The following is a 25540-nucleotide window of genomic DNA, read 5'->3' on the forward strand; positions in this document are numbered from 1 at the left end:
CACTGGAGTAGGGATGCCAGTGCCAGCTTCGTGCCGCTCTTGAGTGGGGCAAATGGGGAGGAACATCAGTTTCCGGACCCCCACAGGTGCCCCAGCCCATCCTCACCCTGCTGTGCCCCTGGAAGCTCTGAGCCCTTTCCCAGCCCAGAATGTCCTCTGCTAGCCTCCAGGCCTACCCCAGAAGTTCTCCCTCAGTGCCCTCCGCCGTGGCCAGCACACTGTTTTGGGGGCCTTGGCTGCAGCTCTGTGGGTTCATTTGTTCCATGTTTGTGAACCCTCGAGGCGGGGCTGGGTCGGCCTGTCTGCTGGTGCACCCGCCCACAGGGGCGTTTGGAACAGCAGAAGGAGCCACATCCCTGCCAATCTGCCACAGTCCGATGCCAGCTGAGTCTCTGAGGACGCAAGGCGGACATGGAGGGGGAGACTCGATGGGGCAGGGGTCTGACCGTGGGGCCCTGTGTGATGCCCATAAGAGCCAGCTGCCTCCGGCCACACTCCCTGGTGATGGAATCCACGCCCCAAGGAGGATGCCACGGGTTCCACATGAAGTTGTCCCGGAGTGGGCTGTGCCCACTCCCCGCCCCATCCTACCCACCCCGGGTCGTCAGTGCTGGGGAGAAGGTGGGACAAGGGTGGATATTTGGGCCTGAAGTGGCCACAGGTCACGGCCCCACTGCAGGTGCCCCCCACTGCCTTCCCCACCCCGCCACACTCCATGTGTGATGTGCGCGAGTGCACGCGTGTGCTGTGCTTGCATGATGTGTGCCGTGTGTGTGTGGGAGGGACGGGAGAAGGCACTGCAGGGGCTGCCTGCTGTCCGCCTGTGCCCACCACCCCTCTGCCTGGCACCCTGCCCCCACCCCCTGAGCTGTTCTGCTCATTCTTGGGTTCCTCTCCCTGCAACACTGCACCCTAAGCATGCATACCCTAAAGCTCCCGGCTTCAATGTCACCAACACAGCCCCCGAGGTTTCTCCCTTCACAGGGCTCTGCTGGGAAGGTGCCCCCTCCGTGGCGCTCCCTCCTCCTGCCAGGCAGTTCATCCCCTACGAGGGGGATGAGCTGGGGAAGGGCTATCTTACTCTGGAGAGAGCAGGCAGGACAGGACTGGTGGTGACTTCTCGACTCCCCTCAGGAGTTCTCTCGTTTCCACGAAGAGATCCTGCCCATGTTCGACCGACTGCAGAACAATAGGAAAGAGTGGAAGGCGCTGGCTGATGAGTATGAGGCCAAAGTGAAGGCTCTGGAGGAGAAGGAGGAGGAGGAGAGGGTGGCAGCCAAGAAAGGTCTGGCTCTGTGTGGCCTGTGGGGCAGGGACTCGGTGACTCTCCCAAGGCAAAATGAAAAGACAGGGCACAGAGCAGAGTTAAAATGGAGAAAAGCAGAGCCACTTTCAAGAAGCCTCGAGGTGGACAGGGCCACAGTGCAGGGAGAGAGGCCACGGCGGGGGAGAGTGGCAGCTGACTCCACCTCGGTAGCAAACCCGGACTGAAAAATTTCCTCTGTTCCTAGCCAGTGAACCCCATTTTTCAAGAAAGAAGTAACCATATCTTATGTCCTTTATAAAGGACTTAGTTGCAACAAGTCAGCACACCCCCAAGTTCAAATCCCAAAGGCATCGTGGTCTTGCCATTGGCCCGCACTTGGCTACCTTAGCTCTGAGGTTTGGCTTGCTATTCCCGCTGCTCCCAGTATCCCATGCTATTCCCGCTACCCCATGCTGCTCCCACTACCCCATGCTGCTCCCACTACCCCATGCTGCTCCCACTACCCCATGCTATTCCCCTACCCCATGCTAGTACCACTACCCCATGCTATTCCCGCTACCCCATGCTATTCCCCTACCCCATGCTAGTACCACTACCCCATGCTATTCCCGCTACCCCATGCTATTCCCCTACCCCATGCTATTCCCGCTACCCCATGCTGCTCCCACTACCCCACGCTATTCCCCTACCCCATGCTATTCCCGCTATGCCATGCTATTCCCCTACCCCATGCTATTCCTGCTATGCCATGCTATTCCCCTACCCCATGCTATTCCCCTACCCCATGCTGCTCCCACTACCCCACGCTATTCCCCTACCCCATGCTGCTCCCACTACCCCACGCTATTCCCCTACCCCATGCTATTCCCGCTATGCCATGCTATTCCCGCTACCCCATGCTATTCCCCTACCCCATGCTGCTCCCACTACCCCACGCTATTCCCCTACCCCATGCTGCTCCCACTACCCCACGCTATTCCCCTACCCCATGCTGCTCCCACTACCCCACGCTATTCCCCTACCCCATGCTATTCCCGCTATGCCATGCTATTCCCGCTACCCCATGCTATTCCCCTACCCCATGCTGCTCCCACTACCCCACGCTATTCCCCTACCCCATGCTGCTCCCACTACCCCACGCTATTCCCCTACCCCATGCTGCTCCCACTACCCCACGCTATTCCCCTACCCCATGCTATTCCCGCTATGCCATGCTATTCCCGCTACCCCATGCTATTCCCCTACCCTATGCTGCTCCCACTACCCCATGCTATTCCCACTACTCCATGCTGCTGCCACTACCCCATGCTAGTCCCACTACCCCATGCTATTCCCGCTACCCCATGCTATTCCCCTACCCCATGCTATTCCCACTACCCCATGCTATTCCCCTACCCCATGCTATCCCCCTACCCCATGCTATTCCCGCTACCCCATGCTATTCCCCTACCCCATGCTATTCCCACTACCCCATGCTATTCCCACTACGCCATGCTATTCCCGCTACCCCATGCTATTCCCACTACCCCATGCTATTCCCGCTACCCCATGCTATTCCCGCTACGCCATGCTATTCCCACTACCCCATGCTATTCCCGCTACCCCATGCTATTCCCGCTACCCCATGCTATTCCCGCTACCCCATGCTATTCCCCTACCCCATGCTATTCCCGCTACGCCATGCTATTCCCGCTACCCCATGCTATTCCCGCTACCCCATGCTATTCCCGCTACCCCATGCTATTCCCGCTACCCCATGCTATTCCCCTACCCCATGCTATCCCCCTACCCCATGCTATTCCCGCTATCCTATGCTACATAAACAAGGCGACTTCAGGACTATGGAAGGCCAGGATGAGCATAATCAGGGCACAGTGTCAACAGAGGCTAAAGCACTAAGAAAGGCTCAGCCCAGCTAATCGGCTTGGGCTGGTCACAGACCCAGGTGCTGTCCTTCCTCCTGCAGGGGTTGGTAGAGGTCACACCAGGCAGGAGGGAAGGAATAGGGCTGGTGTGCACAGGTGGTTCCACTCACCATCTTCTGTCTTCTCTTGCAGTAGGCACAGAAATTTGCAATGGCGGCCCAGCACCCAAGTCTTCAACCTGCTGTATCCTGTGAGCACTGGTCCCATGGGGACCCTATGGCTCCCTCAATCTTCACCCACTAGGATTTGGGTTCTGCCTGTGGCTATTTGCTACAAGAGGTTAGGAAGCCCAAGAAAATGACTGAAGATCATTCTGGATATTTTAATTTTTTTTTTTTTTTTTTTTTGAGATGGAGTCTTGCTCTGTCACCCAGGCTGGAGTGCCGTGGCACGATCTCAGCTCACTGCAACCTCCACCTCCCAGGTTCAAGCGATTCTCGTGCCTCAGCCTCCTGAGTAGCTGGGACTACAGGCGCCCACCACCACACATGGCTAATTTTTGTATTTTCAGTACAGATGGGGTTTCACCATATTGGGCAGGCTGGTCTCGAACTCCTGACCTCAGGTGATCACCCGCCTCAGCTTCCTGAAGTGCTGGGATTACAGGCATGAGCCACCACGCCCAGCCTGTTTTTATAAACTGAAGCCAACTGTGAATAAACTGTAGCCTACATTACTCATCCATTTTTGGATAGTTACCACTGGGAGACCTTTGAAAAGGGTCCATGAACTCTGAAATCACTGAGAACATTTGCAGCCACACATGTACATATGTGTACACAGGTAGACAGATGGACACAGGCCGTTTCTCATCCAGTTTAGGAAAACACACATGCTCAGGAATTCAGAATAAAATAAACAGAAAACTACTTGCCCATTATCTGTGGTAAAATGATAGCGGAAGCCACACTACATTTGACCCATCAGAAAATTCTGCCAGAGAGGTCAAGGCCATGAGTAAAGCGGCCATCCAACTTCAGTGGTCTGAGCGGAAATGATCTGTAATAAACACCATGTAGAGTGGCTCTGATGGCCCCAGACGGCACCAGGAGGGCAGTGCAGGGCTGGATGCCGAAGCCCGTGCACCCCCATGATTAAATATTGGTGAGCCTGGAGTGAAGGACAGAGGCAAAGAAACGGACTTCCCAGTTGAAATCGGTATTATGTTAAATTCAGGATGTTCAACTCATGATGTGAGCTCCAAGGCATTTGCTCCCAACACTAGATGACGCTTAACTAGATGGGCTCATTGGGGTGGGCGTGGGAGAGCAGCAGACATGCCCAGCACAGCCATGGGGCTGCAGGAAGGGGGTGCTGGGTTTTTTGCTTGAGACAGTCTCACTCTGTCACCCAGCCTGGAGTGGAGTGGTGTGATCTTGGCTCAATGCAACCTCCACCTTCCGGGTTCAAGCAATTCTCCTGCCTCAGCCTCCTGAGTAGCTGGGATTACAGGCACCCATCACCACAACCAGCTAATTTTTGTATTTTTAGTAAAGACAAGGTTTCGCCATGTTGGCCAGGCTGGTCTTGAACTCCTGACCTCAAGTGATCTGCCCACCTTGGCCTCCCAAAGTGCTGGGATTACAGGTGTGAACCACCGTGCCCAGCCTTTTCATCTCACTGGTCAGAGACCCCTGGTATCCAGAGCCTGGGTCTGGGATGAGGGGCTCTTAAGAGGTTCTGAGGGATCCTGCAAACAGCCCCTCTGGACGCCAGGACAGGATGTGAAAGTATCTTGCTCACTCAAAGCTCACCTTAACCAAATGTCCTGAAAAGCTTATAGGCTGCTTCTCCCTTTGGCCTTATATTTGCAAACGAACTCATTTTACAAACTGGGGCTCCAAGCCTAGATTTGCTCAAGGCACATAACTGGGAAGTAGCAAATTCAATCTGTCCATTGCAAACCACCAGGCCAAGGGTTTGGGTTGTTGGCAAGCTCACAGCCAGGAGGGGCGAGAAGCCCAGGAAGCCTGCTGGGGAGGGAAGTGGCTCAGGCACCACAAGACCACCTCCCTGCACAACTCAAACAGCACTCAGGCCCTGTGCTCAGGAGGTCACATCACCAGACTTTTAGTCCCAAGTCTGACCTGGCCACTTCCTGGGATCAAAGGGAGGATTTGTGAAATGGCAGGTTGGGGCGAGGGGTTATTGTGGAGGAGGACCCAGCTTCCCAACTGTAAGGGCGTCAGTCAGTGCCTACCCCTCCCCATCCAGGGGTCTGGGCTGCTGAGAGCAGCAGCCTAGAACTCAGAATCAAGACAACCCCAGTACTCATGAGGCCCCCAGCTGACTGACTCCATTACAGACGGCCTTTGGGGCTCCCCACCTGGATGCCCCAGACAGAACAGGCAGCGCGCATCTGTCCTTCCCACTGTGTTTACATGATGCATTCTGGGTCTGTGAATGGTAATGTGGATTCTTTTGAAACCCCCTCCCTGTCTTCCACCTCACGTGAACTGGGAGGTGGACAGAACTTCAACCTAGGAATTCCACAACCAGCGACAGCAAATGAGGAGCCGGAGTATCACACAACACAGGAAGCTTTATTCATCCGCTGCTGGTCCAAAGAGTGGGTCGCAGGGTCACTCACTTTAATATGCTGTCATCTTGGGCCGGAAGGTTAGAAGAAAAGCACATGTTACCACTCAGGCAACCTAAAAAGACCACTTCAGCTTCCCAGTTATTTTTTTTTTTTTTTTTTTTGTTTTGAGACGGAGTCTCGCTCTGTCACCCAATGGCGCAATCTCAGCTCACTGCAACCTCTGCATCCCAGGTTAAAGCGATTCTCCCACCTCAGCCTTCTGAGTAGCTGGGATTACATGCACCCGCCATCATGCCTGGCTAATTTTTTTTAGACAGAATTTCACTTTGCTGCTCAGGCTGGAGTGCAGTGGCGTGATCTCAGCTCACTGCAACCTCCGCCTCCCGGGTTCAAGCAATTCTCATGCCTCAGCTTTCTGAGTAGCTGGGATTACAGGTGCCTGCCACCATGCCCGGCTGATTTTTTGTATTTTAGTAGAAATGGGGTTTCACCATCTTGCCCAGGCTGGTCTCGAACTCCAGAGCTCAGGCAATCTGCCTGTCTCAGCCTCCCAAAGTGCTAGGATTACAGGCATGAGCCACCGCACCGGGCCATGCCCGGCTAATTTTTGTAGAGACAGGGTTGCACCATGTTGGTCAGGCTGGTCTTGAACTCCTAACCTCAGGTGATCTGCCCGCCTTGGCCTCCCAAAGTGCTGGGATACAGGCATGAGCCACCACGCCTGGCCAGCTTCCCCATTTTTAAACAATCCGCATCTACTTAGCTCTGCTTAAATGTCCTCCTCCATTTTCCTTATCCCTGCACAAACCTGGGAGGGACAATCTATAAGAGCCAGTGTCACTCGTACCTTCTGCCAATTCTCTGGCAATCCGTTTCAGTTCATCCTGCTTCTTCTTCTCTTCTGCTGCTATCCTCCTCTCCTCTTCTGCCCGAGGTTTTAGGTAATCTGTTTGGCGGAATGCAGGAGAATAAAATTCACTGGAAATGCTGTACAAAAGGAACTGAGTCCACAGGTCAAGGTATCTTCAGCGACGCTGTAAACCAGACGCACCTGCTGTTCCCGCTCTTTATGTTAATGCGAGTCAACGCCTGACCTTCACCCTGACGAGTCCAACCCAGAGGCTACAGGGCCCCTGCTGCCCACCCGCTCACGCACTGGCTCACTCGTCCTCTGCGAACAGGGACTGCCTCCCATCAAGACCTCAGCACTCGAACAGCCATTTAGCACCCGTTTTCACCAAGAAGCAGCCGTTTTCGAGTCCCCCGCCCGGGCCTCAGAAGCCTGAGCTTTGGGTGAGCTGATTCCACTATCGGGGTCACGCTCGGTGGAGGACACGGTCCTGCAGCCTCGCATGCGTCCCAAGCCCCCTTCCAGAGCTGGAGTTCTCCAAATAGCACAGGAGCTCCACAGGAAAGCCGAGCAGACCCCGCCCCGGCCCCGCCCGCGGTCACTCACTGTAGCGCGTGGCTCCGTAGGCCACACCGAGGAACAGGGCGGAGTAGCGGCCGAGCTGCGAAAGAGGTTGGTCAGAGGCGGCGCGAAACGGGGCTCGCGGGACGGGGGTCGCGGGAGGAGGGGGGGCGGGGTCGCTGGGCAGAGGTCGCAGGAGGGGTGGGGGTCCGGTCGCCGGGCGAGGGTCACGGGGCGAGGATCATGGGGGCGGGGGCCGGGGGTCGCAGCCCGCGGGGTCGGAGCTGCGGGGCGGGACACGGGGGGGCCCAGAGCACTGGGCGGCGGCTGCAAAGCCTGGATCACCTTGATGAGCGGAGAGACCTGCACCGGTGGCACCATCTTGTCCCTGACCTCCGCACCGGAAGCACAACCTGCAGACGGAGCAGGATGCCGCACAAGCCAGCAAAGCCTTGGAGGCAAAGGCGGAGCTGGGCGCACGCATGCGCCGTCAGCGGCGAGAGAGCGGGGGGCCGCGCCCCCTGGCGACCGAAGGGTGACTGCGCGCCCCCGCGCGGCGGTGACGTCACGTGAGGCGCACGCGCACAAAGGCTGGGGAGTGCGCGGAGGATCATCGGCTGCGCCTGCGCAGTTGCTGCGTGAGGCGGGATCTGCGCCGAGTGGGCGGGGGGTTTCCTTTCCCCGCAGGGCTGGGGGTCCGCTGTTTCCCCGCGCTGCTGCCGAGGCCCCGCCGTCCGCGTCCTGGCCGTGTGTCCACACCCCAGACTGCGGGCCGGGGCGCACTCTGTCTTCTTGCGCGGAGCGTCGGAGGCCTGAGGTCAGGGCGGCTCGGGCGGGTCCAGCCCCGCGGACCGCGCCCACCCGAGGGTGGCCTGGGCAGGGACCTGGGGGTCCTGGGAGCGGAGTGTGAGCCGAGTGCAGGTGGCTCCCCGGGCAGGTCCTTCTCCTACAAGGCAGTAGTGTCTGTCGCCGGCCGGGCCGCGTTGGATTCCGCGGCCCGCGGGAGCATGGCCTCCAGGCCCCTCTTCCTGCGGCTGCTCTGCCCGGGAGCACGGGGCGCCCTTCATCCCGGAGCTGGAGCTTCCTCACCCCAGGATGCCCCATCACTTCTGTCCCGAAGAGGGGCTGGGATCTTCTTGGGAAGACCAGCCCCCAACAGAGGCTGCTCCCTGGGTCCCCCGACTCCAGGCCTCAGGACTCCACGGCTCCAAGGGCCTGCCCCGGCCCAGGCCTGGGGACCACTGAGCCCCACACTGGTCTTTGCTGGCCTCTGTCCACCTCCCGGTAGCTGTGTGTCTCCCACAGCTGCCCAGAGATGGGGCCTGCGGTGCCTATGCAGCCTCCCCGCTGTGCCCGAAGTGCTGACCCGCCAGCCCCATGGACACCAGGCTTGGAGTCTAGGCAGGAGCCTGGCACCCCCTCCACGTTCTGGGTCTTCCTGGCGGCAGCCATGCTGCCCGTGCTGGGCCACCCTCGGGCCCCCTTTGGCCCCATGCAGTAGTGACGCAAGGCCTCCTGTGTCCCCTCCTGGCCCTGCACTGCTACAGGCAGAAGCAACTGGAGAACTATGGCTCGGGTCTCGCTAAGGTGCAGCATCACAAACTCCAGGACTCTTGAAGCAAGCATGGGGAGGACCCGTGATCCTGGCGGCCTGGGCTACCTGTCCGGGCCTAAGTCGCCTCTGCCCCCTCTCCTGGCTTGCTCTGGGGTCCAGGGCCTGGGCCTCTCTGGCTGAGAAACTAGGAAGTCACTGGGCTCTGTTTCCTGAGCTGGGTATACCAAGGCCAGTCCTATAGGGCAGGGGTCCCCAACCCCCAGGTGCAGACCAGTACCAGCTTGTGGCCCGTTAGGAACCGGGCAGCACAGGACGAGGTGAGGGAGCATGATTGCCCGAGCTCCACCCACTTTCAGATCAGCCTGGGCATCAGATTCCCATAGGAGCGTGAACCCTACTGTGAGCTGCGCACTTGGATCTGGATTGCGCTCTGGTGAGAATCTAATGCCTGATGAACTGAGGTGGAATAGTTTCATCCCGAAACCTTCCTCCCCAACACGGAAAAACTGTCCTCCGTGAAACCTGTCCCAGGCGCCAAAAAGGTTAGGTACTTGCTGTAGGGCCACCTGATCTTTTCTCCAGCTTCTGTGAGGTTGGCTGGCAGTCCCTGAAGACTCCTGCCTGAGGCCTCTGCCTGAACCCTGTCCTCAGGGGGCCAGAAGCAAACTCCAGCCCTCCCCGTGTCTACTGCTCGCTGAGGAAGCCGCAGGTGCACACTGGATCCACAAGGCACAGAACCATCTTGGCCCTCGGCAAGCCCCCGCTTCCGCCAGGGCAGACGGCCTCAGGTGACAATGGGTTTTCCCTTCACTGGAGTTTAAAATAATCCAGACTCCTCAGCAACTCCTGCTTCCAGAATCAAAAATAAGTGTCTCTGGGGCCCAAGGTAGGGGGTGAGGGGGACATACCAGCAGCTTCCACCAGAGGTGGGGCGGGGCAGGGCACCAGCAGAGAAAACATGCGGGCAAACACACACGGCCTGGGGAAAACCCCCTGAAGCCAATGGAGACTTGCCTTTGCTCAAGGCCTTTCCTGAGAGCTTAGTGGTGGGACGGGTCCCACCTGGCTCAGCACACCGCCCGCAGGGGCCTCTGCAGCTGTCAGGTCAGCTGTGGGTGCAGAAGCCGATACTCCCCCGGCTCAGGCTTGCTGCTATCTTTAGCACTGTGCTCAGACTCCAGTGGCCTGGGAACCCTCTGCAGGGGGCTCTGCAGCCCTTCTCACATTCCCGGTGGCCTCGGGGGGCCTCCCAACCATGCTTCCCCCCTCGGTGTGGTTCTCCCCACTCCTGCAGCCCAGCAGTGCCCCTTCAGGATCACACCCAGACCCCACTGGACTGGCAGCAGGGGATGCCCTGGCCCTTGCTCCCAGCCCCAGGGTTCCACATCTGGTCACCTGACACCTTGCAGTCGGCCCCAGGTCCCTCCTGGGCAGGTCATGCCTCCAGGGTCCTCAACCTCAGGAGTCAGTGCTTCATAGAGGCCGCTGGACCTGGGGATGGCACCAGGCAGCATCTCAGGGGACGCCAACTGTGACCATGTGTCCCTCAGGGGGTAGGACCTCTGCTCAAGAGACATGCAAGTGGCACCTGTCTTTTTAGCCTTGCAGACACGGTGGCGCCCCCAGGGATCCCACCTGCTGTTGTGGCTGCATATAGTCACTCCCACCACTGCCCCTGCAGCACCGAGGGGCAGGTGCCCTGGGTCCTGTTACCTACTGCGTCCCACGCAGACGCAGGCCTGGGGGGCTCCAAAAGCTTGTTCTCCACTCAGCCTGTAGGCCTCCTCCTTGATCCTGCTTGGCCTGCAGACCCTCCTCCCACCCCTTGAACCAGGGCATCTGGATGCTGACTCTGTGGTGGCCTCTGATGTCTGACACCACCAACAGACCCTGGGCCAGGTCCCTACCCCAGACTCTGTGCCTGAGGCCATGGTATAGTGGGGAAGACCAGGCTCAGGGCCCTAGAGTCCCCCTCCCAGCCCATCTGAGCAACGTGGCCATCTCCATGGCTCCTCCAACCCAGAAATGTCATCACCCATGGGCCAGGCAAGGAGCTCCCAGCCATGAGGTCAGACGGGGTGGTCCCAGGGCCAAGGCTATGGACTGACTTCTGTCACCAAGGCAGGGAGGGGCGTGGACACCCCTGACAGACAGAGTGTGCTTGGCAGAAGCCCGGTGACCAGCTGCAGTCACCCACAGCAGCGTTGTGCAAATCTAGAAAAAGTGCCCCTTCCTCTGGCTCCTGCAGTTCCAGGGTGCCCAGGCCCCCAGCCAAGAGCGTGTACAGGTGGCCCTGCTGACACACAGAATCCTTGGGAGAACAAAGCCTCCCCGGGGTTCGGGGACAGGTGGATGGGAGGTAGTCCTGGCCAGAGGTATCTGGGGAGGCTGGGGGCCTTGCGGGGTGAGGCAGGGCAAGGGTGTGAGTCACTGCCAGGCTGCCAAAGCTCACTCTGCAGCTGTCCAGTCCCCTGGGGTAGCCCCAAGCCTGTCCTTGTAGGGAGTGGCAGCCGGAGTCTGAACTGTCCTGGGGGACCAAGCAGGAGCTTAAGATGGGCAAGACCTGGGGCCCTGGGCAGACGCATCAAAGCAGGCAGAAGCAGGCATGGTGAGCAGGCCGCCGTGCATGCCTGGGGCAGGCGTGTGGGTGTGAGCTGTGCTGTGCATGTGTACATGCGCACAGACGAGCGTGGGCGTGTCCGTGCTTGCGTGTGAATGCAGGTGTGGGCGTGTGCTCTGCCTGCATATGTGTGTGCATGAGCGTGTGTATGTGCGTGTGTGTGACCTTGCGGGTGTGGGCTGTGCTGTGTTGTGGGAAGTACGTGCCTCACGTTGCTCTCCTGGTGAGAGTCCGGAGCAGGATGAGGGGGTTCCTGGCTTTCACAAAATCCCGGTACCCAGAACAAGCCCACCCAGAGTCCACTTGCCCCTCAAGCCTTCAGAGGCCAAGCTGGCTCCTGCTGGACGGCGATCCCTGACCACTGTGCTCTGTGGGCCTTCTGGAAGCCACTGTCCCTCCCCCAGTCCCTGTGCTGAAGCCAGACACCTGCAGCCGTCCTGCCCCCAACCCCAGCTACCCAGGCCTGAGGCTGGCATGCTCCTCAGCTGTCTGGCCCCCTCCAGCCCGAAGGGCTGAGGTCCACCCTTCATCTGAGTTAAGTCTCTCAAAACTCTGGGTGCCCTGGAGGGTTTCGTCAGCCAGCCCAGGACCCTCAGCCATGGTGCTCCCACCGCAGGCCAGCAGGAAGACCAAGAAGAAGGAAGGGGGTGCCCTCCGGGCCCAGAGAGCCTCATCCAATGTCTTCTCCAACTTTGAGCAGACTCAGATCCAGGAGTTCAAGGAGGTGAGACTTTCCTGCTTCACTGGGAGCCCCCACCCCCAGGAGCCTGTGCTGGGAAGACCCCATGTGGGCTGGCTCCAGGGCCAGCAGGAGTGGAAGCCTATCCTCAGTCAGGGGTGCTGAGGAACCGGGAGCAGGGGGCGGGGCAGAGCCCAGCCGGGTTGGCAGCACAGCAGCCCTGACCTTGGTCCCCAGGCATTCACACTCATGGATCAGAACCGAGATGGCTTCATTGACAAGGAGGACCTGAAGGACACCTATGCCTCCCTGGGTAGGTACCCAGGCAGAACGCCTCAGAGCCCTTGGAGGAGGCGAACACAGAGGTCCTCCAGCTCCAGACGCCGCGGCCCCTCCTCGAATGGAGCCAGGGCCCGCGCCTCAGAGGCCCACCAACGGCCCTGAAGCTGCAAGGTGATGGCCCTGGCCGCCCTTGGTTCCATCAGAGCTGGCAGAGAGCATCCCAGGGTGAGACAGGGTGGGTGGGACAGCCCAAGCCTGGAAACTCAGAGTGGGCTTTGAGGCAGCAGGCTCCAGGGAGGGGCTGACTCTCTGGTAGGACGCCACAGGCAGGCAGGCGGCTTGCCCCCAGGCAGGACCACAGAGCTGACAGAGGGCATGGAGACCCTGCCCGGCCAGACCACAGAGCTGACAGAGGGCGTGGAGACGCTGCCCAGCCTCTGCAGCACAGCCCGAGTGTGGTGGGGCACACTGCCCTCCCCAGCTTCAGTCCTCCCTGCGGCACATTCTGTTCCCAGCAGCTGCCTCTGACCTGAGGCAGGAGGGCAGGGGGCTTCGGTCCTGCCCTGGGAGCTGGGGAGTGATTTCTCCTTGGGGTGGGAGGGTCGCAAGTGACCCACCTTCCTCTCGGCCCTGCTTATGCCCAGAATTAAGAACAGCAGATCCCAGCACCTTCCCAGGCTCTGTGTCACCTCCCTCTCCCTCAGCACTTAGTCCTGGGGCTCACGGTTTGGGGTGAGGTGGACACAGCCAGCCAGATGCACCCACTGCCCCACGTGCCTGGGCCAAGCGTCTCCTTCCCGCTCCCTCCCCACCCTTCCCATCTGCCTGCCTGGCCCTGTGCTGGGGTCACCTGCTGGTGGCACAGGGCAGGCAACAAGCCCTGCCCTGTGATGCCCCCATGTCTGTAACAGGCAAGACCAACGTCAAGGACGACGAGCTGGACGCCATGCTCAAAGAGGCCTCGGGGCCCATCAACTTCACCATGTTTCTGAACCTGTTTGGGGAGAAGCTGAGCGGTGAGCACCGGTGGGGCAGGCCTGGCCCTCCTAGCTAATTCCTAACAGTTAGAGATCCGGACATTTCACGTAAAAATCTCTCTTTTCCAATCTCTGGAGAAGCCCTAGGGCCTGGCACTCTGGGAGCCAACAACTGTGGGGCCCCGTCAGCCACCCCAGAGCCATGTGCTCAGGCCCGCCCTCCTGCCCCACGTGCTGTGTGACCCGCCGTCGACACCTCTGTCCCTCACTCATGCAGCACTCACCCCCAGCTCCAGGCCTGGGCTGACCCTGGGCACCCCAAAACTCACTACACCCCAGGGCAGGAGTGCCCGACAAGGCCTCCTTGGGGCTCAGGAAAGGAGAAGGCCTTCAGGCAGAGGCCACCTTGTGGGCAGAGGCTTGGAGTCTCCCCCTGCTTGGGGCAGGGGTCTCCCCTCCTGCCATCTGCCCTTGGCAGCCACGGGACTGCCACCCTGACGGCCCTGGGCTGAAGGTGCCTTTGTGGCAGGTACCGACGCCGAGGAGACCATTCTTAACGCCTTCAAGATGCTGGACCCGGACGGGAAAGGGAAAATCAACAAGGAGTAGTGAGTGCCCGGGCGGCCAGGGCGGCCCGGCTTCCGGGGAACCCCAGTGATCTCATCCTGTCCCAAAAGGGACAGTCAGCCACCAGATGCCACGCCCACCTCCCCACCTCTGACCAGCTTCAGGGCCATGAGGAGCGAACCCAGGATCCCAGCTGAGTGGGAGGCCAGCCCTGCTCACACAGGGACCAGCGCCTGTGCCCGGTGGGGGTGGGGCGGCTTCCCCTCAGCCCACTCCTCCATCTTCAGCTCCTGCTAGGCGCCGGGGAAAGTACCAGGCGCTGGCCTGTAACCTCCTTCCGGCTCTGTCCCCATCAGCGGCTCCCCCAGAAGTGATGGCCCCTGAGTGTGTGTTGGGAAGGGACCTGCCCCAGGGCCACACTCCAGCGGGAAGGGCGGGAGTGCAGTGAGCGAGTACAACCTGGGGCCCCTGGAGCACCTGAGCCCCACCGAGAAGGCTCCTGCACCCCCGCATCAGCCCGCGCTGACCCCTTTCCTCGTCCTCAGCATCAAGCGTCTGCTGATGTCCCAGGCTGACAAGATGACGGCGGAAGAGGTCTGGCCCGCGGCTTCCCTGCCAAGCCCACGAGGGGAGGGCGGGGCTCCCGGGGTCAGCTGGGTGGAGGGGGACGCGGAGCCCGAGGAGCAGCGCCGCGGTTAGGACCCAGGACAGAACAGGCCCCCGGGGGGCTCCCGAAGTGCCCGTCTGAGGGACGGAACTGGCTCAGAGGGATCAGGTCAGCGGTTGGAGACCCCTCCCCTCCGTTAGATCAGCGGCTGGAGACCCCTCCGCGGCCTGAGCGTCTGTCCCAGCCGGAGGGGCGGGGCTCACAGCTGTGCGGTCCGGAGCCGCCCCCCACCCCCGACGCGCCGCTCCCAGCCCCAGCGGGCGAGACTAATGCCGGGCCACCCCTCAGGACCCCCGCACCTCCCCCAGACCCCACACGGTCCTCCCCGACGCTGCTGAAGGGCCGAGCCCGACACGTGCGCCCAGACTGTGGCTGCAGCCGCCGCCGCCCCGCCCCCTCCAGCGCCGCCCCGCCCCCTCCAGCGCCGCCCCGCCCCCTCCAGCGCCGCCCCGCCCCCTCCAGCGCCGCCCCGCCCCCTCCAGCGCCGCCCCGCCCCCTCCAGCGCCGCCCCGCCCCCTCCAGCGCCGCCCCGCCCCCTCCAGCGCCGCCCTCACCCCGCACCCGGGCCCCTCCCCGCTCCCCCTCCCGCGGCGCAGAAACCACACCCGGGGCCGCTGCAGGTGCGCGCTTGTAATTCGCTCCCGGAGCCCGCAAGGAGCCCTTTCGCCCCCGCCCGCAGGTGGACCAGATGTTCCAGTTCGCCTCCATCGATGTGGCGGGCAACCTGGACTACAAGGCGCTCAGCTACGTGATCACCCACGGGGAGGAGAAGGAGGAGTGAGACCCAGCCGGGTCAATAAACCTGGACGCTTGGACCCTGCCTGCGAGTCTGCCGGGGCGGGAGGGCGCGTCGGTGGCTGCTGGGCCTTGCGCACGGGGAGTCGCTCGGTGGCAGGCTGGGTGGGGGCTCCCGGGCCCTCTGGGGTCCTCTAGCGAGGCCCCCCTCGCCGTGCACTCCGGAGTCGCCGTGCTGGGCCCCAGGACCCCAGCCCTTCCTGCTCCCCCTCGGTCCACACCCGGCCCTGAGTCTGCGCCGCCCACGGCGTTACGGGTGGAGGGGGGCTCCCCAGACTCGGCCTGCAGGCGCCGGTATGGGGTGTGGAAGAAGACCGCCAGGATGCAGCTGAAGAAGGTGCACAGGCCGGCCATCAGCAGCAGAGACACTGGGGACACATAGCACAGCTGTCCCCACAGCCAAGCCCAGGGGCCACAGATGGGCAGAGCCCAATGCTGGCCTATGGTGACCCCACTACCCTTGACCACAGAGTGACCCCAGACGGAGAGCCCACTCGCAGCTCTTGACAGCCCTGAGGGGGTGTTTGCAGACCCAGGTCCTGAGAGAGGTCACTAGCATGGGGTCTGGGATATGGGTGTGCCAGCCCCATCTCTGATCTCGGCCACACCTGTCCTGGCTCACCTGTCCTATTGCCCGGGGACTCCCTGCGTGGTGCTCACCTGTCCTGCTGTTTAGGGCTCCCCACGTAGGGTTCACCTGTCCCGCTCCCAGGGAATCTTCACATGGGGCTCACCTGTCCTGTTCCCTGGGGACTCCCCATGTGAGGCTCACCTGTCCAGTCAAGTGGATCCTCCCCCTGCTGGCAGGTGGACAAGGACGGCTCCGAGCGTCGCACAGTCAGTGCCGTCATTGCCAGCATGATGAGTATTCCCTCGGCCTGCCTGGACACACGTGGCCCTCAGCCCCCGCTGCACTGCCCACCCCCTCGGAGCCAGGTGCCACCTTGGGAAATGTTGACATCGGTGCTGTCCCTTGTGCCACCACCCTCCTGAAGGCAGCACGCAGCCTCGGTCATGGGCCCTATCAGCCGGCCCGGCCTGCACACAGCAGGTGCTCAGAACCTGCTCGGCCCTTGCCAGAGCAGGCAGGTTCCCCACCTCCCCGAAAAGGGGCCTGGACCACATGGTGCAACCCCAGGGGTGTAGGGGTGGAGCAAGGGGAGTATCTCTGGGGTTGCAGCAGGGGCAGATGGACACTCACCCCAGCACAAAGATCATGCCTGTGGCAGCCCCCTCCCCCACGGGGAAGGAACACTCGACCGCCAACTCCATGGCCACGGGGCCCACCGAGAAGCCAAACAGCCCGAGCAGCGAGCAGGTGGCAGCCAGGGCAAGGGTCTGTCCCTGCAGCTGGGACACCTGGGAGCAGCGGAACGGCAGGCAGACAGGTGGAGGGGGTGGCAGTCAGAACTGGACCTGGCTTCACGGGACATGGGACACGGGGCAGGAGAACCCATCCCACCCCGGGGCCACCCTGGCTGGCAGAGGCTGGGCATGAGACAGTCCAGACCTCTGTTCCAGCCAAGCCGCCAACCGCCCTCTCCGGGCCTCACCACCCACCCACCCCCACAGGGCAGTCTTGGCTTGAGGAGACCCTCACCAGGGCAAAGGGCACGCAGGCCAGAGAGAACAGGCACAGGCCAATCTTGGTGGCCTCAGTGAAGTGCTTGGTCCGGTCCACATAGGGGCCGAGAGCCAGTGCCCCCAGGATCCCAAACGTGATGAAGAGAGCGCCACAGAGGCCGGAAAACCCCTGGAGGAGGCGAGAAGAGGCCAGGGCCCCAAGAGGCCACCATTATCCTAGGTGCATGCCGTCAGGGCAGGGGGCTCAGTGTAGGGCCGTGTGCTGTGCCCAAGGCCCAGGCATAGCAACACAGCTTCCAGACGCACCGCTGGCTGCCTGCGGGGTAGGGTTTCCTGCCTTGTGTTTCCCACCCCACCCCAGAGCAAAGCAATCGCTAAAGGGAAGAGCCTGTCTCCACAGAGGCCCCACAGGGCCGTGGTGCCTGTGGCCCTGGCAAAGGTGGAAACATGCCCCCAATCCTACACTGAGCACTGATCCCAGAAGGCAGAGGGCAGAGGGCCAGCTCGGAGATATGCGAGCAGAGCAAGGCCCTCCCCGCTGCACGTCTGGATACCAGAAGGTGGCGCTGTCCTGCAGACCCACAGGGGCGGGGCCTTGCTGGGAAGGGGCACTGGGAGCCCTGGGGGCCCCACCTTCCCATCCACAGGGCACCGTCAGTCCCTCCGCTCCGTCCCACAGCTGCCCCACCCCACTGCAGCTGTGCCCACCACCTCCACTGCCTGTGGACATAATGTCACACAGGGCATCTCGGGAGGGCCCACAGCACAGAAGGGTGTCAATGTGGCCCCCGCCAGGGTCGGACACTGGGCACCCTGGAGGCGGCGGTGACTCCATGGCCATATGGGGCGGATGACAGAGGCAGGGTCCCCAGGGGTGGGGCCAGGCTCACACTGGAGTGGCCGCTTGCACAGAGGATCTGCTCCAGGAGGGCTGAGAAGCTGGCAGAGATCCCGATCATTCCCCCCAAGCACACAGCCAGGATGACATAGGCCTTGTTCCACATGAGCTGCTGGGAAAGAGCGTCTCAGCCCCGGAGCCCGGGGGCCCTTCCCAAACCCATCGCCTCCTCAGCCTCTTGCCCCCACCCCCAAATCCACCCTACCCCGGGGATCCCACGGCACTGACCAGCTTGAGCCCATCCAGGAACTTCTCTGAGGTGGAGCTGGCAGCCCCGGCAGAGGGCGGGGTGGGGGGCACACTCTCCCACAGGCAGATGGTGGACAGCAGGCAGACGACGCCAGCAGGGATGGTATAGACACCGAGCTGGGGAGGGGTGTGTGTGCACAAGGAGACCACGCAGACTGGCACCCACACACGCCGCAGCCCTGCCTGTCCCAGGCGCCACCTCCCAGCTCCTCCTGCCCCACCACCGGCTGCCTCCCAACCTCTGGTCTGCAGCTGCCCTTTGCGAGGCCCAGGCTGGGAGGGGCCTGCTCCAGGGGCTCATGGGGACCCCTGGCTGTCAACGCATCCCTCACCAGTGACACCCTCCTGGCTGATGTTAGCCCAGCACCCCCAGGCTCCAGACTTACATCTCACTGCCAGCTGCACAGCCCATGATAGGGCTCAACACACAGACACAGGTGGGTGCAGAGGCACACGTGCATACAGACTCACGCTCAGTACATACCCCCAAGCACAAACACACCACCCGCACCTGATACACATGCACGAGCACACACAGGTACACACCACACATGTGCACAGACACACAGACACATATGCACACATCACACAATACACATGGGCACAGGAACAGAGACACGCACCGCACACACCACACACACTCAATACACACAGGCAGGCATAGAAACATCACACACTGGCCGGGCGCGGTGGCTCACGCCTGTCATCCTAGCACTTTGGGAAGCCGAGGCAGACGGATCATGAGGTCAGGAGTTCGAGACCAGCCTGGCCAACATGGTGAAACCCCAACTCTACCAAAAATACAAAAAAAAAAAAATTAGCCAAGCATGGTGGCGCACGCCTGTAGTCCCAGCTACTCGGGAAGATGAGGCAGGGGAATTGCTTAAACCCAGTAGGCGGAGGTTGCAGTGAGCCGAGATCGCGCCACTGCAATTCAGCCTGAGCGACAGGCTGAGACTCCTTCTCGGGTGGCGGGGCGGGGGACGGGAATCACACACGGGCACAGGAACACGGACACACTTGGGATCAGGAACACACAGACGTGCATGCGCACACACCACACAGACCAGGCACGGGCGTCTCATGACCCCTCACCATTAACGGAATGTCCTCACCCTTCTTGACCAGCACAGGGGACAGCACATTGGCCACAAGGACGCCCAGAGGGTTCGCTGGGTGGGCGGATGCACAAAGTGTCAGCTCGGCTGTGGCCTGGCTTCATCGCCAGCCCACAGGCAGAACCTTCCGGGCCCCAGCTCCTCCACCCTGGCCAGAGAGCCTGGGGAGCCGAGCGTCTGTGTGGACCCTGAGGTGAGCCCAGGCAGGCGGCCTCCCTCCCCGGAACTCACACATGGTGGCGAGCATGTTGGCCGTGGCTCGCTGGTGCTCTGGGAACCACAAGGCAGCCAGCTTGGCTGGAGAGAAGATGACCAGGCTCTGGGCAAGGGCACAGAGGCTCTGGCCACCCATGAGGAAGGCAAATGGGTTTTGGGTCCCAACAACCATGCAGGGCACCATGCGTAGCACACTCCCGGCAAAGTTCAGCCACGCACCCAGGATGGTCTGCGAGGAGGGGGTCGGGGACCGGGTCAGGAACGCTGCCACCAGCCCAAGTGCCTGCCCCGTCCCCCGAGCACCTGGACCTCCCACTGCCGCCACCTCGACGGCTCTGCCGGGGTCCCCAGCTGTTGGGACTGGTGGGCCCCGGTCTGGGGAGGCCTTGACTCTCCTACCCAAATGCGGGGGCCCCTGCACTGTCCCGGAGCGGGCCATGGTGTGGGGTCTGACTCACCGCCGCACGGAGCCCGACGGAGTCCAGGATCCAGATGGCCGCCACGCCAAATGGGGTGGATACCACGAGGTAGACCAGTGACAGCCAGTTGATCTGCTCCATGGACAGGACCAAGTCCTCAGCAATGACGTCAGCCACAGGTGCAAAGCTGAGCCACAGCTGCAGGGGTCAGGCGGGAGTCAGCGCAGGGCCACAGACCCCGGACCTACCTGCTGTGGCCCCAGCCAGCCCGAGGGGGTCAGAGTGCCAGCAGCCCCGTGAGGCCGAGGGGACACAGCGAGCTGGACACGGGGCCTTCCTGCCCAAGGAGAGCGCCACCCTGCCTCCCCCGAGGGCGGGCACCCAGCGCAGGGTCAGAGAGCATGCCCTGACCGGGGACCAGCCTGGGGGGCAGACACTGAGGCCAAGGACCTGGCCAGAGCCCACAGGACCACGAGCCCTGCCCAGACCAGACCTGGCGCTCCAAGGCAGGGAAAGGTGGGCGTGACGGGGTCTCAGCTAGAACCTCTGGGACTGCAGGCCAGCCCCACCCAAGGCCAGCCTGACCTTCCCTCCTGCAGGGCCCAGGTGTTTGGGCAGAATGTTGCCAGAGCGGGCACCATTCCCCAGCCACAGGCATTATCAAGTACTAGAGCTCTTCACCCCACGGACGTCCAGCACACAGCACAAGTGCACGCTGCGGCCGAGGGGAAGGCCTCCTAGGAGAGGTGAGACTGGCTCATCCCTGAGGGAGGCCAAAGTGGAGCGGGTCACCGGGGCTCACTCCGGGAGGCAGGAGGCCGTGTCACTCAAGGTCAACTTCCATGAGTCGACTGAGCTCCAGGCCACACCCTCGGACACAGCAGCCAGACCCAGGCTCCGCCCGGACAAGGTCTGACTCAGCCCACGGGACAGGACAGGGAGCTTGGGCAACAGCCGCCCTGTCTTCCTTTTTCTGCAGGACGGGGCCAGGCACAGAACGAGCTCCCCAGGCCCAGCTGGTGCCTGCCTGGCCGAGCCCGGGAGAGAAAGCCCACCCTGCGGAGCCGAGCCCGCCGCTCCAGCCTCAGCCCTGTCCTGGTTCCTCGGGGGCCTGAGTGGGGCCCACAGCTGACTCACTGAGAAGAGATGCGTCTGAAGCGTGCGGGGCAACGTGGGAGGACGATCTGTCTGACTCCCTTCCTCATCTCCCAGCCTCGACCCTGCCTGCGCTCGCCCCCTTGGGTCCTTTGAGTCTCATCCAGAGCACTGGGCTGCCTTCCGGGGTGGGTGTTGACCCAAGCTCTGCTCCGCCTGGCCCTCATGCTGCTGGTTGGAACCCGGGATCCCTGGTCACTGGCTGCAGATGAGTAACCTCCAGCCTCAAGGGCACTTGGCTGGAGTGAACATGGTGCTTACGGCTCACTGTGGTGACCCAGGCAGAGACCATGACGACTCTTGGTGTCAGGGTGAGATTTCTGTGTGCTCCATGATGACTCGTGGATATTAATAAAACAGTGAAGAACTGCAGCAGGAGGCCCTTGACTGTCCAAGGAACGCCCCACACCTACGACACCCACTGACTCTTGGACCATGAAACCAGCCCTGCACCCTCAGACACTCCACCCAAAGCCAGTTATGGCTTCCCCAGTGCCTGGACATGGTGGGCCAGGACGCCAAGCCACAGCAGTGAGTTACGGCTCGTGCCAGCATTGTGGGCAGCAGGCAGCCCCTGGGCCCATCCAGCAGATCCCGGGCCTGTCTCGGCCAGAGGCTGGCCCTCCATACCCAGCCAGCAAAGGAGGAGGGGAGAGGCCCCGGGGTCCACCTGGAAGAGCCCTGACCCAGGCCTGAGAGTGACTCCTGCCCCTGCCCCCGAGCTTCCTGACCATCCCCGTGACCTGGCGCCTCCCTGAGCTGTGGGTCCTGCTGCCAACTCTAGCTGTTCATTGCACGTTGGCCAGATACTGCCTGACCAGTTCCTGAGGCTCCGGGGGATGGCTGATGAGGGCACACAGGGCGGGAAAGGCTGCAGCGTGCAACACCTGAAGGGGGTGGGGGCAGGACGGAACCCAGCCCAGCCCAGGAGCCGCCCCTCACTCAGAGTCAGGTGGAGGGGAGGGCGGCTCCAAGCGCGCCTCTGCTGTGTGCCTGCTGTCCTGGGGCTGGGAGGCGTGGAAGGAGAGAGGGCCAACGCAGGGCCACCTGTATGTGACTGGCTGGGGAAGAGGGACCCAGGCTGGAGCCACTGAAGGCTGGGAAGGGCTGGGACTCCGTGACTGGCAGATCCCCCGGGGCACCCAGCCCTGCTCTGTGCCCTGGGCCCAGCCACCTCCAGGACAGACAGTGCCCCCAGTGCCCGCAATCCCTAGCCACCTCCAGAAGGCACCCCCCGCCCCCAGCCAGCACCTGGCACCTCGGGCTGTGGCCACAGGAAAACAAAACCCGGCTGGTCCGAGGGACTGAGGGTCCCGGAGCCACCTGTCCCCGCCCCTGCCCCTACCGTGGCGTTGGAGCAGTTGAGCAGGCTGATCGCGAGCAGGAACACCCAGCGGCGCGCGTAGGTGCGGTGGCCCCGCTGCGCGCACAGGGCCCGGGGCTCGGCCAACCCCGTCTCGGCCTCCGTCGGCCCCGCCATCGTCGGCGGCCTCCACGGGTCTCCGCCGGTCCCGCCGGCCGCCCGGGCTTAAGGACCTTCCCGCGTGGGCCGGGACCGCCTGCGGGCGGAGGTGGGGCCGGGCCGGGCCGGGCCACGGGGGGCCAGTTCCGCCCCAAGGACTACGGAGGAGGGTCCCGCCCCGTCCCAGTTAAAGGAGACCCAAAAAAGCGGGGGAAGGGCGGGCAAAGGTGAAGTTGGACCCTCCTCCTTCGGCCTCAGGCTGGAAGTCCCTGCCACAAAAACCGAATGTCCCTTCCGGGAAGGGCCCCGGTCACAGCCTGTGTGCTTCTCAGCAGGAAAGGCGGCCTGGAAGTCACTCTGCCCAGCAGAAGCTCTGCACTTCCTGAAGGGGGCTGTGGACCCCAAGTTCCTGAGGTTCAAGCCAGCCACAGGGAGGGGCCAGAGGCCAGCCTGGAAGAAGAGGCTGGGCTGGCTTTGCGCAGAGCCTCAAATCAGACCAGTCCCTCTACAGCCCCTGCGGGAAGCAGGCATGGGGTAGGAGGGCGAGGGGCTGCAGGCCAAGGCTGGAGGGAAGGCCAGAAAGGCCTGTGGGCCCCACCCTGGGGTAGGCAGTCCGCCACACACGCACCGGATTGTTACCTGCATTTTACAATGGAGGACACGGCTCTCAGAGGAGTAGGCACAGGTTTCTGTTTGTTTAGGATGGAGAGGCCTGTGTGTTGGAAGGCAGAGGAGGGAGTTTCGGCTTAGTCTTTTCTGCAAGAACCTGCTGATCCCACAACTGTGCCTGGCCCACCCTGGGGGAACCCAAGAGGCTCCAGGCCCTGTTGCTGAGGCCAGTATAGGGGTGGGGTGGAGGCTGGCCTGGTCAGACGTGCAAACAGGATTTCCCCCAAACAGGGAGGCTCTCTTGACCCTTGAAACCATCCCCGTTTCCTGAACAGTATTATTCGTGGTTTTTGTCTTAAACATTCATCTCCTTTGCCAGGGCCTGTCCATTTTCCACACCTGAGTCTGAACAGGCTAATGATGAGGCCCCAGCTTTCACTGTGCAGTCTTCTGCAGGGATTGTGTGTGTGTCTCAGATAGAGCTCTCCACTTTGGGATTTTTTTTTTTTTGTAGAGTCTCATCCAGTAACAAAGAGAAAATGGAGCTCACCCGGGGTGTCCTGAGATGGGTGGGCCCCAAGGGGGTTCCATTCTCTGAGACGTGTGATGGAGCCCTGTGGTCCTCACTCTCTTTATCTCCTCTGCCTTCCCCACCGTCTAGCCTCCCCCCTCATCTTTGTTCCCCATTCCCCCACCAGTTCCTTCTGTTCTCCTTCTCCTCACCTCTTGCTCGCCCTGCCCTGAGGACCCAGCCCCCTCACAACCTTCCTCCATAGTCCAGTGCCAATGTTGGCCTAGGGCCTTCAACATCCCCTAACCCCACCTGGCAGAGGGGGAGTTGCAGTGCAGGCTTCCCTGTTGAGGGACCTCACTATTGTGGAGCACTGCCTCTGACAGGTGGTGTCTGAGCCTGTCACCATGAAATGGGGCAGCCACAGTAGCTACCTCCATCGTTCAGTCTCTGTTGAGCGTGCATTGTCGAGGGGTGTCACCATGAAACGGGGCAGCCACTGTAGCTACCTCCATTGTTCAGTCTCTGTTGAGCGTGCATTGTTGAGGGGCTCCTCCTCCCTACATGTCGGAACTCTTGGGTTGAGCAGGTGAGCTCAGCAACATTGCAGAATGCAAGATCAGCACACAACAATCGCTTGCATTGATGTATACCAACAAGAAACATGAAAACCAAAGTTAAAGACATTCATAATTACTCCAAGGAAAATTAAATACTTTGGTATAAACTTAGCAAACCATCTACAGAACTTGCATGCTAAAAATTACAAACCATGGGCCGGGTGCGGTGGCTCACGCCTGTAATCCCAGCACTTTGGGAGGCCAAGGCAGGTGGATCACAAGGTCAGGAGTTCAAGACCAGCCTGGCCAACATGGTGAAACCCAGTCTCTAGTAAAAATACAAAAATTAGCCAGGTGTGGTGACATGCACCTGTAGTCCCAGCTATTTGGGAGGCTGAGGTAAGAGAATCTCGAACCCGGGAAGCAGAGGTTGCAGTGAGCTGAGATCATGCCACTGCACTCCAGCCTGGGCAACAGAGTGAGACTCTGTCTCAAAAAAAAAAAAAAAAAATTACAAACCATGGCTGGGCGAGGTAGCTCACATCTATAATCCCAGCACTTTGGGAGGCCGAGGTGGGTGGATTACCTGAGGTCGGGAGTTCAAGACCAGCCTGGCCAATATGGTGAAACCGTCTTCACTAAAAATGCAACAGATTAGCTGGGCATGGTGGTGCATGCCTGTAATCCCAGCTACTCAGGAGGCTATATAAGGTGGGAATTGATTAAACCCGGGAGGCAGAGGTTGCAGTGAGCTAAGATCGTGCCACTGCACTCCAACCTGGGCAACAGAGGGAGACTCTGTCACAAAAAAAAAACAAAAATAAAACAAGGAAAAAAAAACAAGCTGTGCCCCAACCACCTTGAGCACGTGCCATCAGGACTGCCTGAGGCTATGTCACAGGTGTGTCCTTAACCTTGGCAAAATAAACTTTCTAAATGGGCTGGGCACGGTGGCTCACGCCTGTAATCCCAGCACTTTGGGAGGCCAAGGCAGGCAGATCACTTGAGGTCAGGAGTTTGAGACCAGCCTGGCCAAAATGATGAAACCCTGTCTCTACTAAAAATACAAAAATTAGCCGGGCGTGGCGGCGGGCACCTGTAGTCCCAGCTACTCGGGAGGCTGAGGCAGGAGAATGGTGTGAACCCAGGAGGCAGAGCTTGCAGTGAGCCGAGATTGCGTCACTGCACTCCAGCCTGGGCAACAGAGCGAGACTCCGTCTCAAAAAAAAAAAAAATTTAATTTTTTAAAAAATCGCATAGTATAAGTCCACTTATTTGGAAACAATGACTTTTTCCACTCTTGCATCTAATGAAACAGTTTTGTTTACATTTCTCCACAAGCACCTTCGGCACACTCACCTAAGCTGCCCGAGTTTTGGATCCGGGTACAGCACCATCCTGGGATCCTCACCCCAAGCCCAGAATTGCCTGTGTACGTTTACATGGTGACCTCCAGACAAAGGCACCCAGCG

The 25540-nt window shown here is 61.1% G+C and overlaps 4 protein-coding genes and 1 long non-coding RNA gene across 59 annotated transcripts in view, besides 15 other annotated features; 3 read left to right on the top strand and 2 right to left on the bottom strand.

Annotated features, from left to right (window-relative positions):
* The window catches only part of PDE6B (phosphodiesterase 6B), a 45210-nt gene extending 41149 nt beyond the window's left edge, over positions 1 to 4061 (top strand). For 7 of the 14 annotated variants that reach the window (XM_047415772.1, NM_001440547.1, XM_047415775.1 and 4 more), the window contains 2 exons: positions 1135 to 1220; positions 3325 to 4061. In XM_047415772.1, the coding sequence (XP_047271728.1) occupies positions 1135 to 1220; positions 3325 to 3493 (255 nt within the window). In that variant the 3' untranslated portion in view covers positions 3494 to 4061. Of the gene's footprint in view, positions 1 to 1134; positions 1286 to 3324 lie in introns of all 14 variants that reach the window. The other 7 variants (XM_047415773.1, NM_000283.4, NM_001379246.1 and 4 more) reach the window with 3 other exon arrangements.
* ATP5ME (ATP synthase membrane subunit e) lies at positions 5715 to 7555 on the bottom strand. Of its 2 annotated transcripts, NM_007100.4 has the most exons (4): positions 7491 to 7555; positions 7191 to 7245; positions 6582 to 6680; positions 5715 to 5798 (listed from the first exon to the last, which is right to left on the bottom strand). In NM_007100.4, exons 1-4 carry the CDS (start codon positions 7524 to 7526, stop codon positions 5779 to 5781), a joined length of 210 nt encoding a protein of 69 aa, NP_009031.1. In that variant the 5' UTR covers positions 7527 to 7555; the 3' UTR covers positions 5715 to 5778. The 2 variants fall into 2 exon arrangements, 1 of the variants encoding a protein (NP_009031.1); NR_033743.2 differs by lacking the exon at positions 7191 to 7245.
* Positions 7687 to 8444: an enhancer, noted in NCBI's record as "H3K27ac-H3K4me1 hESC enhancer chr4:668197-668954 (GRCh37/hg19 assembly coordinates)". NCBI's record gives its function as "activates a minimal SCP1, AML or CMV promoter by ChIP-STARR-seq in primed H9 embryonic stem cells {active_cell/tissue: H9 hESC(primed)}" and the evidence as "EXISTENCE:reporter gene assay evidence [ECO:0000049][PMID:30033119]".
* MYL5 (myosin light chain 5) lies at positions 7821 to 15307 on the top strand. Of its 18 annotated transcripts, none has more exons than NM_001395441.1 (9): positions 7821 to 9133; positions 9283 to 9488; positions 11201 to 11308; positions 11937 to 12044; positions 12237 to 12312; positions 13193 to 13297; positions 13788 to 13866; positions 14371 to 14419; positions 15172 to 15307. In NM_001395441.1, the coding sequence occupies exons 3-9, from the start codon at positions 11306 to 11308 to the stop codon at positions 15271 to 15273; spliced, it is 522 nt and encodes a 173-aa protein (NP_001382370.1). In that variant the 5' UTR covers positions 7821 to 9133; positions 9283 to 9488; positions 11201 to 11305; the 3' UTR covers positions 15274 to 15307. The 18 variants fall into 18 exon arrangements, with proteins under 18 accessions (NP_001382370.1, NP_001382371.1, NP_002468.1 ...); NM_001395442.1 differs by having other exon boundaries at positions 9352 to 9488; NM_002477.2 differs by having other exon boundaries at positions 7821 to 7962; positions 9352 to 9488.
* Positions 7842 to 8111: a silencer, noted in NCBI's record as "silent region_15100". NCBI's record gives its function as "represses an Ori minimal core promoter by ATAC-STARR-seq in GM12878 lymphoblastoid cells {active_cell/tissue: GM12878}" and the evidence as "EXISTENCE:reporter gene assay evidence [ECO:0000049][PMID:35858748]".
* Positions 8322 to 8391: an enhancer, noted in NCBI's record as "active region_21130". NCBI's record gives its function as "activates an Ori minimal core promoter by ATAC-STARR-seq in GM12878 lymphoblastoid cells {active_cell/tissue: GM12878}" and the evidence as "EXISTENCE:reporter gene assay evidence [ECO:0000049][PMID:35858748]".
* SLC49A3 (solute carrier family 49 member 3) lies at positions 10105 to 24903 on the bottom strand. 24 transcript variants are annotated; one of them, XM_047416279.1, is made up of 12 exons: positions 24018 to 24903; positions 23028 to 23100; positions 19811 to 19969; positions 19572 to 19581; positions 19368 to 19433; positions 19134 to 19190; positions 17998 to 18135; positions 17762 to 17881; positions 16888 to 17040; positions 16489 to 16646; positions 16060 to 16169; positions 15108 to 15655 (listed from the first exon to the last, which is right to left on the bottom strand). In XM_047416279.1, exons 1-12 carry the CDS (start codon positions 24193 to 24195, stop codon positions 15237 to 15239), a joined length of 1641 nt encoding a protein of 546 aa, XP_047272235.1. In that variant the 5' UTR covers positions 24196 to 24903; the 3' UTR covers positions 15108 to 15236. The 24 variants fall into 24 exon arrangements, 21 of the variants coding, with proteins under 21 accessions (XP_047272246.1, XP_047272235.1, XP_047272236.1 ...); XM_047416280.1 differs by lacking the exons at positions 23028 to 23100; positions 24018 to 24903 and adding exons at positions 20909 to 21335; positions 22178 to 22330; XM_047416282.1 differs by lacking the exons at positions 23028 to 23100; positions 24018 to 24903 and adding an exon at positions 22272 to 22430 and having other exon boundaries at positions 19114 to 19190.
* Positions 14005 to 14644: an enhancer, noted in NCBI's record as "H3K27ac-H3K4me1 hESC enhancer chr4:674515-675154 (GRCh37/hg19 assembly coordinates)". NCBI's record gives its function as "activates a minimal SCP1, AML or CMV promoter by ChIP-STARR-seq in primed H9 embryonic stem cells {active_cell/tissue: H9 hESC(primed)}" and the evidence as "EXISTENCE:reporter gene assay evidence [ECO:0000049][PMID:30033119]".
* Positions 14397 to 14496: a silencer, noted in NCBI's record as "silent region_15101". NCBI's record gives its function as "represses an Ori minimal core promoter by ATAC-STARR-seq in GM12878 lymphoblastoid cells {active_cell/tissue: GM12878}" and the evidence as "EXISTENCE:reporter gene assay evidence [ECO:0000049][PMID:35858748]".
* Positions 14717 to 14916: a silencer, noted in NCBI's record as "silent region_15102". NCBI's record gives its function as "represses an Ori minimal core promoter by ATAC-STARR-seq in GM12878 lymphoblastoid cells {active_cell/tissue: GM12878}" and the evidence as "EXISTENCE:reporter gene assay evidence [ECO:0000049][PMID:35858748]".
* Positions 14997 to 15226: a silencer, noted in NCBI's record as "silent region_15103". NCBI's record gives its function as "represses an Ori minimal core promoter by ATAC-STARR-seq in GM12878 lymphoblastoid cells {active_cell/tissue: GM12878}" and the evidence as "EXISTENCE:reporter gene assay evidence [ECO:0000049][PMID:35858748]".
* Positions 16974 to 17383: an enhancer, noted in NCBI's record as "active region_21131". NCBI's record gives its function as "activates an Ori minimal core promoter by ATAC-STARR-seq in GM12878 lymphoblastoid cells {active_cell/tissue: GM12878}" and the evidence as "EXISTENCE:reporter gene assay evidence [ECO:0000049][PMID:35858748]".
* Positions 18514 to 18643: an enhancer, noted in NCBI's record as "active region_21132". NCBI's record gives its function as "activates an Ori minimal core promoter by ATAC-STARR-seq in GM12878 lymphoblastoid cells {active_cell/tissue: GM12878}" and the evidence as "EXISTENCE:reporter gene assay evidence [ECO:0000049][PMID:35858748]".
* Positions 19848 to 20796: an enhancer, noted in NCBI's record as "H3K4me1 hESC enhancer chr4:680358-681306 (GRCh37/hg19 assembly coordinates)". NCBI's record gives its function as "activates a minimal SCP1, AML or CMV promoter by ChIP-STARR-seq in primed H9 embryonic stem cells {active_cell/tissue: H9 hESC(primed)}" and the evidence as "EXISTENCE:reporter gene assay evidence [ECO:0000049][PMID:30033119]".
* LOC124900643 (uncharacterized) lies at positions 19964 to 21298 on the top strand. The gene is made up of 2 exons (XR_007057985.1): positions 19964 to 20517; positions 20751 to 21298. It is a non-coding gene; the product is annotated as an uncharacterized LOC124900643 (long non-coding RNA).
* Positions 21745 to 22693: an enhancer, noted in NCBI's record as "H3K27ac-H3K4me1 hESC enhancer chr4:682255-683203 (GRCh37/hg19 assembly coordinates)". NCBI's record gives its function as "activates a minimal SCP1, AML or CMV promoter by ChIP-STARR-seq in naive and primed H9 embryonic stem cells {active_cell/tissue: H9 hESC(naive and primed)}" and the evidence as "EXISTENCE:reporter gene assay evidence [ECO:0000049][PMID:30033119]".
* Positions 22217 to 22386: a silencer, noted in NCBI's record as "silent region_15104". NCBI's record gives its function as "represses an Ori minimal core promoter by ATAC-STARR-seq in GM12878 lymphoblastoid cells {active_cell/tissue: GM12878}" and the evidence as "EXISTENCE:reporter gene assay evidence [ECO:0000049][PMID:35858748]".
* Positions 22417 to 22476: a silencer, noted in NCBI's record as "silent region_15105". NCBI's record gives its function as "represses an Ori minimal core promoter by ATAC-STARR-seq in GM12878 lymphoblastoid cells {active_cell/tissue: GM12878}" and the evidence as "EXISTENCE:reporter gene assay evidence [ECO:0000049][PMID:35858748]".
* Positions 22694 to 23641: an enhancer, noted in NCBI's record as "H3K27ac-H3K4me1 hESC enhancer chr4:683204-684151 (GRCh37/hg19 assembly coordinates)". NCBI's record gives its function as "activates a minimal SCP1, AML or CMV promoter by ChIP-STARR-seq in naive H9 embryonic stem cells {active_cell/tissue: H9 hESC(naive)}" and the evidence as "EXISTENCE:reporter gene assay evidence [ECO:0000049][PMID:30033119]".
* Positions 23417 to 23466: an enhancer, noted in NCBI's record as "active region_21133". NCBI's record gives its function as "activates an Ori minimal core promoter by ATAC-STARR-seq in GM12878 lymphoblastoid cells {active_cell/tissue: GM12878}" and the evidence as "EXISTENCE:reporter gene assay evidence [ECO:0000049][PMID:35858748]".
* Positions 24904 to 25540: the final 637 nt, after the last annotated feature.

Source organism: Homo sapiens, chromosome 4 (genome assembly GCF_000001405.40).
Source record: "Homo sapiens chromosome 4, GRCh38.p14 Primary Assembly".
NCBI classification, from domain to species: domain Eukaryota; kingdom Metazoa; phylum Chordata; class Mammalia; order Primates; family Hominidae; genus Homo; species Homo sapiens.

Excerpts from the sequence above, each read along its gene's own strand:
- ATP5ME (NM_007100.4), bottom strand. The coding sequence starts at position 7,526 with ATGGTGCCACCGGTGCAGGTCTCTCCGCTCATCAAG. Across the intron at positions 7,246-7,490 it reads AGGTCTCTCCGCTCATCAAG|CTCGGCCGCTACTCCGCCCT; the intron begins GTGATCCAGGCT and ends CCTCTTTCGCAG. Across the intron at positions 5,799-6,581 it reads TGCCAGAGAATTGGCAGAAG|ATGACAGCATATTAAAGTGA; the intron begins GTACGAGTGACA and ends TTCCGGCCCAAG.
- SLC49A3 (XM_047416284.1), bottom strand. The coding sequence starts at position 22,406 with ATGGCGGGGCCGACGGAGGCCGAGACGGGGTTGGCCGAGCCCCGGGCC. Across the intron at positions 16,170-16,488 it reads GGCATGATCTTTGTGCTGGG|GCAGGCCGAGGGAATACTCA; the intron begins GTGAGTGTCCAT and ends ACGTGTGTCCAG. Across the intron at positions 15,656-16,059 it reads GGATCCACTTGACTGGACAG|TGTCTCTGCTGCTGATGGCC; the intron begins GTGAGCCTCACA and ends ATGTGTCCCCAG.
- MYL5 (XM_047415724.1), top strand. The coding sequence starts at position 11,919 with ATGGTGCTCCCACCGCAGGCCAGCAGGAAGACCAAGAAGAAGGAAGGG. Across the intron at positions 12,313-13,192 it reads GGACACCTATGCCTCCCTGG|GCAAGACCAACGTCAAGGAC; the intron begins GTAGGTACCCAG and ends TGTCTGTAACAG. Across the intron at positions 13,867-14,370 it reads GGGAAAATCAACAAGGAGTA|CATCAAGCGTCTGCTGATGT; the intron begins GTGAGTGCCCGG and ends CCTCGTCCTCAG.